The 13,243-nt window shown below is 37.9% G+C and overlaps 1 protein-coding gene across 8 annotated transcripts in view, besides 1 other annotated feature; it reads right to left on the bottom strand.

The window, feature by feature from the left end:
* Nucleotides 1-13,243, bottom strand: part of COL19A1 (collagen type XIX alpha 1 chain) — a 345,913-nt gene that overhangs the window by 70,264 nt on the left and 262,406 nt on the right. For 6 of the 8 annotated variants that reach the window (NM_001858.6, XM_011535437.3, XM_017010254.2 and 3 more), the window contains 5 exons: nucleotides 11,982-12,023; nucleotides 4,458-4,520; nucleotides 1,216-1,251; nucleotides 277-312; nucleotides 129-182 (listed from right to left, as the gene is read on the bottom strand). In NM_001858.6, coding sequence (NP_001849.2) covers nucleotides 129-182; nucleotides 277-312; nucleotides 1,216-1,251; nucleotides 4,458-4,520; nucleotides 11,982-12,023 — 231 coding nt within the window. The remainder of the gene's footprint in view (nucleotides 1-128; nucleotides 183-276; nucleotides 313-1,215; nucleotides 1,252-4,457; nucleotides 4,521-11,981; nucleotides 12,024-13,243) is intronic. The other 2 variants (XM_047418188.1, XM_017010253.2) reach the window with 1 other exon arrangement.
* Nucleotides 6,493-6,994: an enhancer, noted in NCBI's record as "OCT4-NANOG hESC enhancer chr6:70845103-70845604 (GRCh37/hg19 assembly coordinates)". NCBI's record gives its function as "activates a minimal SCP1, AML or CMV promoter by ChIP-STARR-seq in naive H9 embryonic stem cells {active_cell/tissue: H9 hESC(naive)}" and the evidence as "EXISTENCE:reporter gene assay evidence [ECO:0000049][PMID:30033119]".

Raw genomic sequence — 13,243 nt, 5'->3', positions numbered from 1 at the left:
GAAACAGGATAAAGTCTTGGAGAGCATTTGTGAAGAAAATGAGTGGCATACCAAAGCACCATGTTTTACACAGAATGGCTACAATTCCCAAATTATTTCCCAAGAAATCTTAGTTATTTCTTATATACCTTTAGTCCTGGGCTTCCTATTAAACCAGGGGGTCCGGGATCTCCAGGTTCACCCTAAACACGTGGGGGGAAGGAAAGATCAATGTTTCTTTAATTTTCATAATCTCATTAAGGTTGGAGAGGAAATTGAAGAATGCCAGGAAATTACCTTTACTCCCTGTGATCCTATTACCCCAGGTTCTCCCTGTAAATAAAATAATTACTATAAGGGTAATGCTTAAATTCAGATGGAAATGGACATCTCTGATACTTTAATTGAATTTCTACTAATTAACATACAATAAAAAGGGAAATTATGGAAGACACAATAAAATCAAGGAGAGTTCATTCTAAAACATGATTCAAAATACTTACTACTAATAAATAATACTTTCTTGATTTCTTCATTATAATAATTTTTCCCCCAATGCCATTTTTGACACTAATTATCATGTCCCATTAGCAATCACTGCATTCTCTACTTAGCTGACATAGTTATAATTTGACACCAACTAATCTCATGTCCCAGAGAATTAAAACTTCAGAGAAAGAATGAGGGAGAGTAGAATTTAAGGTAATATGTGTTGGTGATTCTACTTTTAGTTATATGTGCTTAATGGTTAGTTATATGTGCTTAATGAAAAAAATCACAACAAAATTAAGGTTATACAAAAGAGGATGATACTGGCTATAATAAGTTTGCTTTTTAAATTTTCTGTGACTTATTAATATATTTGATAAATCCACTTTGTGCCATTAACAGAATTTTTGGAAAAAAATGTATCTTTTATTTTAATTTTATATTTTTGATATCCTACATGGATGTCTTGTATAACATTCATGTCCAATCACTATTAGTAACTGGTTAAACAATGTATTAGAAAACTCAAACCAATGTTGAAGTCTCCTTGCATGACAACAGTTAACAAGGCTTAAAATTTCTTATTTATCAAAATAAAAGAGTTAAAAATCACAGAGGAAAAAGTAAAATGCTCATGGACCTTATTTAATCAAATCTATTAGACTCCAAAGTAAACATACCAGAAAATCAGAGAGAAACAAATCAATGAAGTAGAAAACCCAAGGTAGTGATAAAATATCTACTTACTCTATCTCCTTTTTCTCCTTTTGTAAAAGGCTCTCCCTAAGGAGAAGGGGTAGAAAATAGAATTAAACGCTCTTAGAAATAAACTCTCCAAACCGGGGTGTGGATAAACCCTATAGGCCAAACTCAGATTCCCATTGCAAACAGACCTCCAAAAATACCCAGAGTGTCACACAGTCTGTCTTTGCAGCTTAAAGGAAATATATGATAATTAATTTAAAAACTCCTTTATATTCCCAAATGAACAATGAGTTAATCATTCTAACATCATTTATAAAATCCCAAGTGGCTGACAAATTGGAATGCTGCCCAAGGCCAAAGCTTCCTATTGCCTAGTCCACATAGAAAACGATCACACACACACATCCAATTGAATGTGAAATGGGAATGACAGCAAGAAATTGATAAAAACGTTGAAGGGAAAGACATTCACTTGAATTCTTCCAGTTGGTTAATTGTGTGCTTAAATATACAAACTCATTATTTTAAAAATAGTTTCCTAGTTTTTATTTTTACTTTAATGAAAATGACTTGAAGAGGTTAACCATATCTGTAAGTTCTGTGTCCATGGATTCAAGCAATTGTGGATAAAAAATATTTGAAAAAGAAAAACAATAAAAAATAATACAGCAATAAAAATTATACAAATTTTAAAAATAATACAGTATAACAACTATTTACATAGCACTTACATTGTAATATATATTATAAGTAATCTGGAAATGATTTGAAGTATACAGGAGAATGCATAGGTGATATGCAAATAAAAATAGGCCATTTTATATTAGGGACTTGAGCATCCTCAGATTTTGGTATCCTCTGAGAGTCCTGGAACCCATCCCCCACAGATACCAAGGGACAACTATATACCCATATCTACCCAACATGATGAACTATCTTAATAGTGGTTGATTTCTATATATTAGATCAAGGCTTTATTTATATTCTTATTTCCCTGCTTGTTTTTGCTTATATGACACTGCTCATGTCATTGCTTATTTACAGCCACTGTAAAGTTTAGTGGCCACATTGACTAAAGTAACTGGTTATAAAAGAAAAAAAAAAAAAGAGAAAAACCCGGGAGCCTAGTTGTCTAGATACTTGATATTTAGTCCTGGCTCCAATGGCTACTATTTGAGGCAAGTCACTTAATCTTTTAGAGCTCCCCTTTCTTTATCTATAAAATCATGGGGTTCAACTAGGTGATCTTAAGTATATTTTAGCTCTGATGTGTTACACATCAAACCATATTCTGAATGTCCTATGGTGGGGGAAAATTTGCCATTTTAGTTACCATTCGGGATCAGTGGTTCAGAATTTACCTTTGAATGAATACTACTCTTCTGTTTGGGCCTTCTGATTATTATGCAAAGTAAAGTCTACATCCTGTTCTGGAAGAGAAAGTTTGAGACCATAAAAAGCTAAACTGCTCTCCGTAATAATGTAAAATTTGCGTTGTTTTAATGTAGGGGTAGAGGAAGGTGGCAAGTAAAGATGTATGGGGTGGTGGGATAATTAAGGGATGAATAGGGACCTGGTATGGAGAAGAGTTAGGAGGAAAAGAAGCTCTATTTAAGGAAAACAGGGCTAAAGGCAGTCCTCATGAGATACATGGACTGCCCTTGAAAGTTAGCCAGAAAGAAAGCCAGAGGAAATCCCTGCAGGAGGAAAAGGCCTATGACTCCTAGGAACTATGAACTCCTTCAACCCTTGCTGCTTAAAGTGTGGTCCATGGACCAATAACACCAGCATTACTGAGAGCTTATGAGAAACACAGACTCTCTGGTCCTGCTTCCAAACCTACTGACTTAGAATCAGTGGGATTCAAGTGCATGTTCACATTTGAGAAGCACCGCTCTAACTCACTGAAAGTTTCTCCTTTCTGCTCTAAAAATCCTCGATTTTCCAGTAAAATTTTTATTAATCTTACTGCAGGGTCCTCCATGCATCATGTGGAAATTAAGAGAAGGTTGGTGTCAGTGTTCAGGTTTGGAGGGAAGACAGTGGAGACCTAGAGAAGCAGCTAAGAGATGGTAAGAGGAACCTCCAAGTGTGGAGCACCTAGAGAGTTGGCAGGTACCAGGGGCATGCACCAGGCTGGATTTCTGAGACATGAGATTTTCCAGACATTATTGCAAATACTCAGTTGGAGAACCTCATTAAAGACTGCCAAATCCTGTAGTTGTGTAAGAAGGCTTGAACTGAATACTAAGGGCAAGCACGACTCCTGAAGGTAGAAGAACTGGGGTACATAGGCCACAGACTGATTCTAAAGCTGCAAAAATTACTGTCATTGTTAATTTTTTAAAGCTGAAGCATAGGGAAAATTTGGCTTTGTAACACTGAATACTTTAAATAATGTTCCTGTTTGTCATGCAGGCAATTTAGTGACCTCTTCATGTTTTATCCCCTGATAAACCAATATCCTTTATTCAGTCTCGTAAAGAAAGGGGTAGAGTGGTTTAATAAGATGTATTACTTTTCTTTAAACAAAGATGAAACATTTGTTAAGCCTGATTCTCACTGATTCTTGAAAACTGCTTTTTTAAAAGAAGCATTAAAACAAGTCATTTTTTGTACCTATGATTTCTCTAATCACTTTAGGTGGTCCTATTTGAATATAAATGATACTGTAGGGTTTTTCTCTTTTTCCCCACAAAAAGAACTACATTTTGAAAGAAACTGGCCACAGTAATACCAAAAAGTGGTTGGGAAGCCACTTTGATCATACAAAAATCAAGAAAGAAAAATAACTTCAGAAGGTACACTGAGAACAGTTGTTTGAGCAGAAAGATGTGTTTCCAATTTCTTTTGGATAAATTTGTACTAGTCTTTTGATACATTGATTTTATTATTTTAGCTGCAGTGTTTAGTTATACCAGAGGAGCTTTGTGATTTTAAACTTTAGGTTCTAGAATCAACTCACCTAGGTGTGATTCACAGCTCCAATGCTTAGTACTGTGTGACTTTGGGCAAAGTTTTTTAACCTCTTTATGCCTTACTTTCATCATTTGAAGTATGCAGGTGATAATAGATGACCTTATGGAAACTTTTTATGGATTAAGTGTGTAAATACATGTAAGAGACTTAGTGCATAGCGTAGCTAGTACTTGCTTGAAGATCTGATCTGTTGTTTCCCATGACAGGATCAACCAAGGCACGTGGAATTGGGGCTGATTTGGAAACGTATTTTTAATCCCGTTTTTTAGATATTCTTCCTCTGTCCTCAAAGCTAAAATACTTACAGGTTCTCCTTTTTGTCCTTTAGGGCCAACAGACCCTGGAAATCCTGGTAGTCCAGTTTCACCCTTTCAAGACAAAGCAGAAGAGAGATTTTGCAGATGGTTAGAGAAGCATTATTGTGACTGTCAGATACAGAATGATTGCTTGCTCTCCTGCTAACTATACAATTTATCTATTAGCATCCAACAGACAATGCAAAGTTCTGAATCTACTTAGGCTATTTTTATGATAATGTGTTTGTCAGTACTTCACAATGGCTTTATGTCTTTTAGAAATCCATATATTTCATTATGATACTTAAATGTAATGTGAAACAAAGTTAATTATTTTTCCAGGAAAGAATATCTATCTAGAGGAGAAAAATTATAATTTTGTTCTGGTGTGCCAAAACCAATTTTTTTTGTGTGTGATCTCAAAGACATCAGACTGTTTAACTGGCACAATAATCCAGACTCATTTTATTTCAGGCACTTTTTTCTTTGTTTAGGTGGGCAGAGTCAGCAGTTATATGAAGCAAAACGAGTCTCTCAGCTGTTTCCAGGGTTTATAATGCTACTTAGATGATTGGCTGTGGGCAAATAAGGCATTCTTGTAGATGTGGTGACAGCAGTAGCTTAGAAATGTCTAAGAGGTTCTGGTCAAAAACCTTGAAGAGAGATCTGTATGTGACATATAAAGAGTGTTTTTGGAAAATATAATTTGAGAAGTAATACTTAAGAAAGGAGTTATATCACTAATGAGACTTCAGAGGAGTCTCAGCATTGTGCATCCTTTTAGTGTTTACCAAGATCTCTGAATACCTACACAATTCTTAAATTAAACATAGTCTCTAGAAGATATGTAATGCTGATTTTTTTTCCCTAACTTCAAGAGCATTTTTGCAAAATGATGTTCACCATTACATTTCTGAGCATATACCGTTTTTGCCTACCTGGCCTATTTTTTTACTTCAAAAGAATAAATACAGAAAACATAATAAAGTAGAATACACCAAGCCTTCATGTACCAGGTACCCAAAATGAAAGAAATTAAAAAATTTACAAAGAAGAAATCCCCTATATTTCCTATTTCCACCCAGAGGGAGCCACTCTCAAGAATTTAGTATTTATATTTTCAGTTTATATTATTGTACTTTTACTGCATATGTGGAATCATAAACAATATATTATTGAATATTTGAAACAAATTCCATAAATAGCTTTATCTCATAAATAACATACTATGACTTGTTTTTTCCACTCAGCATTGTTTTTAATATCCATCTCTATTGATACATATGATCTCATTCATTCATTATAACAGATGAGTAGCATTCTAACATGTTAATAAACCAGCGTTTATCTCAGCCCCACCGATGGGCACTTTGATTGTAATCAGCTTTTCTCTATTATAAACAAGGCTGCAGTGAACATCTCTAATCCTGACCCCTGTGGATGTGCCTAATTGTTCATTTTGAAGCCTCAAACAGCTACCAAAAAGTGCTTCAAGTATAAATTTACTACAGCCCTAAAATCTTTGGCTTATTTTTATATGTATATCCTAATCCATGTCTTGTGATTTTCTGTAATGGATAGACAAGATCATGTTTGTATTAATTAGTCTTCTAGATTTATGGAATACGTTTTGTTTAATTTAATCTTAATTTTACTAAAATTTTAAAACCTCATGTGATAGTATAACTGTGGAACCAGCCCAAACAGGGCCTACTCTGTTGATAACAAAATGTCAAGTTACCTTTAAGGTATAACAGAGCCCAAAACTGCAAGTCATGCAGCCTAGGCACGCATAACAGAAAAAGCTTTGACTTGTAACAACAGCTGGAACCAACAATTCCACCCCCTGGGTGGAACCAAGAAGACCGGGACATGACCAGAACCTGAACTCTTTCAGAAGCATGGAAGTCCATTAGCCTGGAATATCCAGGGCAAAAATCTGCCTCAACATACCTTACCATAAATGGTCAAATTTGAAGCTGTCCAATCAGATTCTGCCAAACTAACATCCCTAAATCCCGTCCCTTGCCCTCTGATCCCTTAAAACTTGCCCCAATCCCCAAATCCAGGAGGCAAATTTAAGCCCAATTCCGGTCTCTTTGCTGGCTGATTTTGCAATACAATCTTTCTTTTCTGAAAAGCTGGTGCCATAGTTATTGGCTTCGGTGCACAGTGGGCAGTGAGCCCATCTGCTTGATAACAATATTGTAAAATACATATTTGGTCTTCCTCCCAGTTTCCTGGCATACAACTCGTAGAATCCTTGGAATCCCCAAAGCAATAAGCGTCTTTTTGTATGCTAATGAGTTGACTGGTAGCTGGCAGCCCCTAGGTAGCTTCGGGATTGGGCTGGTCACCAGAAGGACCAAGGCTTGATTACAGTCTTTTCAGCCTCACCTCCAACCTCTGGGGAGGGGAGAGAGACTGAAGGTTAACTTGGTCACCAGTGACAAATGATTTAATCAATCACGCCTACATAATGAAGCTTCCATAAAAACCACAAGGACTGGGTTCAGAGAGCTTCTGTAGAGCTGAAGTTTAGAGGTTCCTGGAGGGTGGCATGACCAGGGAGGGCATGGAAGCTTGGAACCTTGGCACCCCTTCCCACATACCTTGCCTTATGCAGTTCTTCATCTGTAAACTTTGTAACATCCTTTATAATAAACTGGTGAGCGTAAGTAAATATCTCCCTGAGTTCTGTGAGCCATTCCAGCAAATTAGTGCCGCGGACGGGGTCATAAGGACCCCGATTTATAGCCAGTTGGTCAAAAGCACAGATAAAACAACACGGGGCTTTCGATTGGCATATGAAGTGGAAGGCAGCATTGTGGGATTGAGCCCTCAATCTGTGGGATCTGTTGCTACCACCAGGTAAATAGTGTCAGAATTGAATGGAATTAGAAGACAATCAGCTGGTGTCTGTTGCAAAACTGATTGCTTGCTTGCTGTGTGTGAAAAATTCATGTATTTGGTCATAGAAGTATTTTGTGCTGTGAGAGTTGATACTAGGAAAGAAGTGTTTGCTTTTCTGACTCACCTCAGTACTAATTTTTTATACCATTAGGCTTTCAGCTAGTAATAGTAAGGCCCTGTTGGAGAGCCAAGGAACCAAATGGATAAGAAGCCAACTTGCAGACCTGTCAGTACAAATATTCTACAGCAGTGTTTCCCAAAGTTCAGTCATCCGCATCCCAACTGTGTAATATTCGCTATGTCTACATACCACCTATATATATGTAGCTTATTTTTTCTCTGAATTCACTCACGTTCTTAATTTAAATATTCAATGTGCCTTTTGAAGCAATATCCATCAAATTTAAAGTTTAGTGTGCTGTATACAGGCTTTTTCCTAATTCAGAGGAAGCTACGTAAGTATTGTTTTTTTCTATGGTAGTATCTAAACATCCTGTGTATCATCAGTCTTATTCTTACCACATTATAAGAGAAGCCATTTTTTTTCCTAGACATAGTAAATTATATTCAAGGTAAGGCAAGGGAGAAGTTGGGGGATACATTTAGGAACAAATTGTTGTTGGTTTGATAGAGAAAATAAACAATTAGACTTGTATAGGCATTAGGGTGTACAGAGTGACCTTCGTGTTACCCATCTGGTAGGTGCTACAGTTTCCATTGTATAGGTGTGAAGGAAAAATATGCCTACTAGTTAGACTTGCCTAATAAAATAAAAGTAGAAAGCTGAGAAGGAGTCTAGCAATTGCTTGTAAAAATCAAATCTGCCAATATCAAAGGGGAAGGGGAGGACAATGTACATGGTGAAATAAAAGTAAGTATATTCATAGCTGCTCTACAGGTAAACAGGGGCAGGACAAAAAAGGGGTTGCAGTCCATCTTTCCACATAGTCGTTGGATGACATTGGGCTGGAAGGAAATCTTAGAGACCTCTTTCCTCATAAAATTCTGCAAGCAAAAGCATTTTCTACCTGAACCTTAGACACATATGGGTTTGTATTTTTTATTTAAATTGAATGTTCAGTGATTTATCACTGTAGAGATGAGTTGAAACACAAGTGATGAAGTTACTTTGCATTAGGAAAGACTCTCCTTCAGTTTGACACTTTCGATGCTATTAGCTTGGTGCTGTAGTGACTCCACCTTTTCCCTGACAGTCTTCCTCACAAGACACCTGCTATTTTCTCAGGAGGGCTAAGATATTCTGATATTTTGTTCTACTGTCTCTATAAAGCAGCAGTTCTCCTCAAGTAACTTGCAAGTACATTATCCCTTCACCACATCCTGTCAGTCTCAGTCAAGCCACAGAGCAGGGATCGTTCATTTCCACACTGGTAGACTGGTCATGTGGATGGTCTCCATGGCCATTTACTGCAAGTCGTGGTTCTCCCTGTATCGTAGTGTTCTTGATACAGGATGTGGCTGCTAAACCAGGGGTGACTGGTGTGTATATTCCAGTGCTATTTGTGCTTGTCCTGGTGCTTCATTGTAGTGTCGGGTTCCAAAGGGTTGGCTCTTTTAGTAATTCTATTTTGCTGGTCAGTGCATTGAGAAGTAGCATATTATAAAGGAATGGTGAATCACTTATGTGTTTAATTATTCTTCTGGTTAAATATTTTATTCTACAGCACAAACTGAGTCCCTTCTTTGTCAAAATTATGGTGGGAGATACAAAGATGAGCAAGACCAGGTGCTAAGAATGAGAACAACAATTAATCCTCAAAAGTGCTAAATGAGACCTCATGAGAGGAAGGAAAGATTGAGATGGGTGAATAGAAAAGAACAAATCTTTAGTGAGGGCTTTATATGTGTTTTAGTTATTGCGCTTTTGAGTAACTTCCTCTTATTTAATTTTAATCCTTCTATCAACTCTTTGTGTAGATACAATTCTGCCCATGGTGTGAATGAGGAAATGCATGCTTAGAGAAATGAAGTGGCCTTCCCAAGGTGACCTAGCTGTTAATGCCACAATCAACTTTTTGTCCCAAAGCTCATGCTCTTCCTATTACTCAGTGGTTCTTAGCCCTGGTTGTGTATTAGAGTCATCTGAAACACTTCTAAATAGAGATAAGACCCCTACCCTAAATCGGAGTCTCTGTGGATGGAGCCTGAGTGTGGGTATTTTGTCAAAGCTTTCCACGTGATTCCAATGTGCAGCCAGGATTCAGAAGCACTGGGGTTCGCCACAGGTGCAACAGAGATCTCTGAGAACAGCTTGATGGAGCTTTAAATTTTCACTGTGGTGACTTACATTACATTAAATTACATTATAATTTTAAAAACTAATGTATTGATTCAGAAGAGATACTAAGTAGACTTACATAGGTAGAGTTGATTTCACCCTTCCAGCAACTGCTATGCTCATGTTTGTGTTTGGTTGGTTGTTTTGAGACAAGGTCTTGCTCTGTTGCTCAGGTTGGGGTGCAGTGGTGTGATTATAGCTGACTGCAGCCTCTACCTCCTGGCTCCAAGTGATCCTCTTGCCTCAGCCTCCCTGGGAAGCTGGGACCACAGGTGTTTGCCAGCATGCCCAGCTAATATTTTTAATTTTTGTAGGGATGGGGTATCACTATATTGTCCAGGCCGGTCTAAATTCTGGGCTCAAAGGTTCTTCCTGCCTTGGCCTCCCAAAGTGCTGTGATTACAGGTGCGAGCTACCACCTGTAATTTTTGTTTATTTTATGCATTGTTTATTGGCAATTTCCTGTTAATCACGCTTTTTAAAAGTTTTTTTATGTGTCTCTTTATATCATGTACTGCATCAAGTTCCCTGTAGACTTTTCTGTGTTATTTATTTGAGTGAGAGGAGGGAACAGTTATGCCACTGGCTTTTCCTAATTCTACTTAAGATTCTGAAGCAATTAGAAAAGATTTTGAGCAATAGAAAAGGTCCTTAGAGTTTGAAACACACCTGTTTTACAGAATCAAATTTCTCATCAGTGAGGTCTTAAGAATGTCTAAGTAACATATGTTTCCTAATGAACACAGCAAAACAGAACCCAGCTGTTTTGTTTCAAGAAATGAATCATCATTTAAATACTTTAAAAGTCACAACACTCTTCTTTGCTCAGCTGTCCTATGTGACAAGCTTTGTGGCTTTCTTTTCCTTTTTTTTCCCCTTAGCCTGCATATGTCCAGAAGTCATTGCTTAAAATGTAATGCGTTGGTTATGGTGGCGTATGGTTTCTGTTAGCTATTAGGTTACAGGAAATAATGTTAATGTACTAGCAATAAAATCTAACTCACACAAATGACTTATCATTGCTGTATAATCAATTTTTGGATGTCTTTTTCAGAATGTCAAGCCTTTATTTATTTATTTAGCAGAAAATTTCATTTTCAATCATCAATCTGTAAGAAGCTCCTAGTTTCTGGTGAGACTATCTTTTAGCAGTAACTTCTGGTGATGGGTGTACGACTTTTTGAATGGATTGGTTGCACTGATTTATAAGACACAGAAGTCATATTTTCTTGGATTCATGTCAAAATCCCCTGCCCTCAATCTAGAGAATTTTTACAGGTGAATGAATGAAAGTAGCACTCACAGGCCACATTCCCTCAGAGTATTTTCAAACTACTCATCTCTGCCTGTAGATTTAATGTGCATTTTTTTTCTGACAATGGCACATTCACATGGAATCCAAGGTCATTACAATTTCAGAATCAAACAGGAGTGAAACATCTTATTGAATGGGGAAGTGAATCTGTCATCTTTACAGCTATGATAATTAAACCTGCAAATGACAAGGGGAATGCAACGGAAATTTATCAGTGTCTTAGTTTTAAAACTATTTTGAAATAATTATTTGGTTAAACCACTACTGGACAGTATAAAACCCCACCAAAAATGGCTGCCAGGGCAGCTTATGTTTTGGTAATTAGGAAGACACAAAATAGTGAGCCTGGGCTTGAGGCATTTTGCCAAAGGGGTCTTCAGATTGTTTTTGCCACCTACACGGATTCACATTTAATTACAAAACAAGTCTTGTGTCCTGATTTCATTTATCTTATTACAGTAATTTCCCCTTGATATGTTCTCTTTCTTATAGCCAACTGCTACTCAGCAGTCCTTGCTGGACCCTGAAGCAGATTCGAATCCTACTGCCTGGTCAGGAGGCAGGCGGAGGCCCCTGCCCACTGCAGGCTGGACACCCTCCCAGAGATGCAACCCAACTGCTGCCAGGGGGCTGCCCCCTACGTGGGAATGTGTAAGTCCGTATAAAATACTGGGCCCTTCTATTCACTTTGAAAATCTGATTACTGCCGGGTGCAGTGGCTCAAGCCTGTAATCCCATAACTTTGGGAGGCTGAGGCAGGTGGATCACCTGAGGTCAGGAGTCCAAGACCAACCTGGCCAACATGGTGAAACTCTGTCTCTACTAAAAATACAATAATTAGCCGGGAGAGGTGGCACATGCCTGTAATCCCAGCTACTTGGGAGGCTGAGGCAGGAGAATCACTTGAACCTGGGAGGTGGAGGTTATAGTGAGCCAAGATTGTGCCACTGCACTCCAGCCTGGGCAACAGAGCAAGACTCCATCTAAAAAAAAAAAATCTGATTACCTTGTCTCCTTTCAGGCCTCCAGCTTCATGTTCATCATTTCCCTAGGGGTGAAAAACAATTTAAAATACAAAAGAAAAATCCGCTAATTTTTAACACATTCAATCTGTAACAGTATAAGCAGTCAGATAATAGTTCTGTAACCGCTTTTTATGGATACTAGGTCATTTGTGCAGACATCTTTGTCTCTCTCGCCTGTTGTTAAATATTCCTGTTAAATATTCTTCTAAATAATTCCAGCTTTGGACACCCCATGCATCTTCTTTGTGACTTCTTAAGGAGATTGCTTCTGGAGAAACATCACACCTCTGGGGATAAATACTCACTACTCCAAATCCACATCTGGCCACTTCAACTGGCCTCTCCATGTATCTGAGCATCTCTGATCTGCTCTCCCTATTCTCAAGTCTTCTTTATTGTTCTCAGACCACTACATTAGACTCTACAGTCCTTGGGCAAGTGACCTTGCCTGTAACTACACTGAAAAAAATGCAAGTTCTCAGGCACCACTTATTTTATTTTATTTTTTTCCTTTTTGTGGAGAATGGTGTCTCAGTATATTGCCCAGGCAGGTCTTGAACTCCTGGGCTCAAGCTATCCTCCTGCCTCTGCCTCCGTAAGAGCTGGGATTGCAGGCATGAGCGACTGCGCCAGGCTTCAGTCACCACTTCTAATTCCTGCTAATGAATGTACCAACCCATGTGCATGCACATCTGGGTGTAGTTAATGAGCTGTCTCATCTCTTATCATGGCTGTTTCCTCTATAAATCCTCTGATTCCCATGCCTTCTGCCTTCTTAGGAGATTTTCCTTATTAATGTTACCTATTGCTATCAGGTGAAATTGGCCAATTTGGTAAAGTTAAGTAAAATGTAGCTAAAATTGGCCAATTTCTTTAACACTTCTCTTTCTCTCTCTGACTACCTACCTATTCTACCTTCTTTAAACTTAACACACAAAGAGCATATAGTTCCCCAGCACACATTTCCCTTAAGTTACTCTCTTTCCTCCCATTTCTGGACAATTTTCTCAAAAGGGTAGTTAGTGCTTTTTGCGTCCACTGACCAAGACAGCCTTAATGTTTCCCTCAGCTGGAATCAACTTTGGACAGGCTTGTTCCTAATTCCATACCCTGATCTCTCTTTTTCTAGACCAATCGCTTTAGAAAATCTGTATTTGTAAGTTCTTTCACTATCCCTTTGAGATGTAAATCTTTCTAAAAGCCTCCTGTTAGTTTTACAATCTGGGAACGTCTTTCTCAAGGA

The sequence above is a fragment of the Homo sapiens genome, chromosome 6 (genome assembly GCF_000001405.40).
Source record: "Homo sapiens chromosome 6, GRCh38.p14 Primary Assembly".
Lineage (NCBI taxonomy): Eukaryota > Metazoa > Chordata > Mammalia > Primates > Hominidae > Homo > Homo sapiens.
The sequence above is the reverse complement of the archived record's forward strand: the minus strand, read 5'-3'. Positions and strand labels throughout refer to the sequence as shown.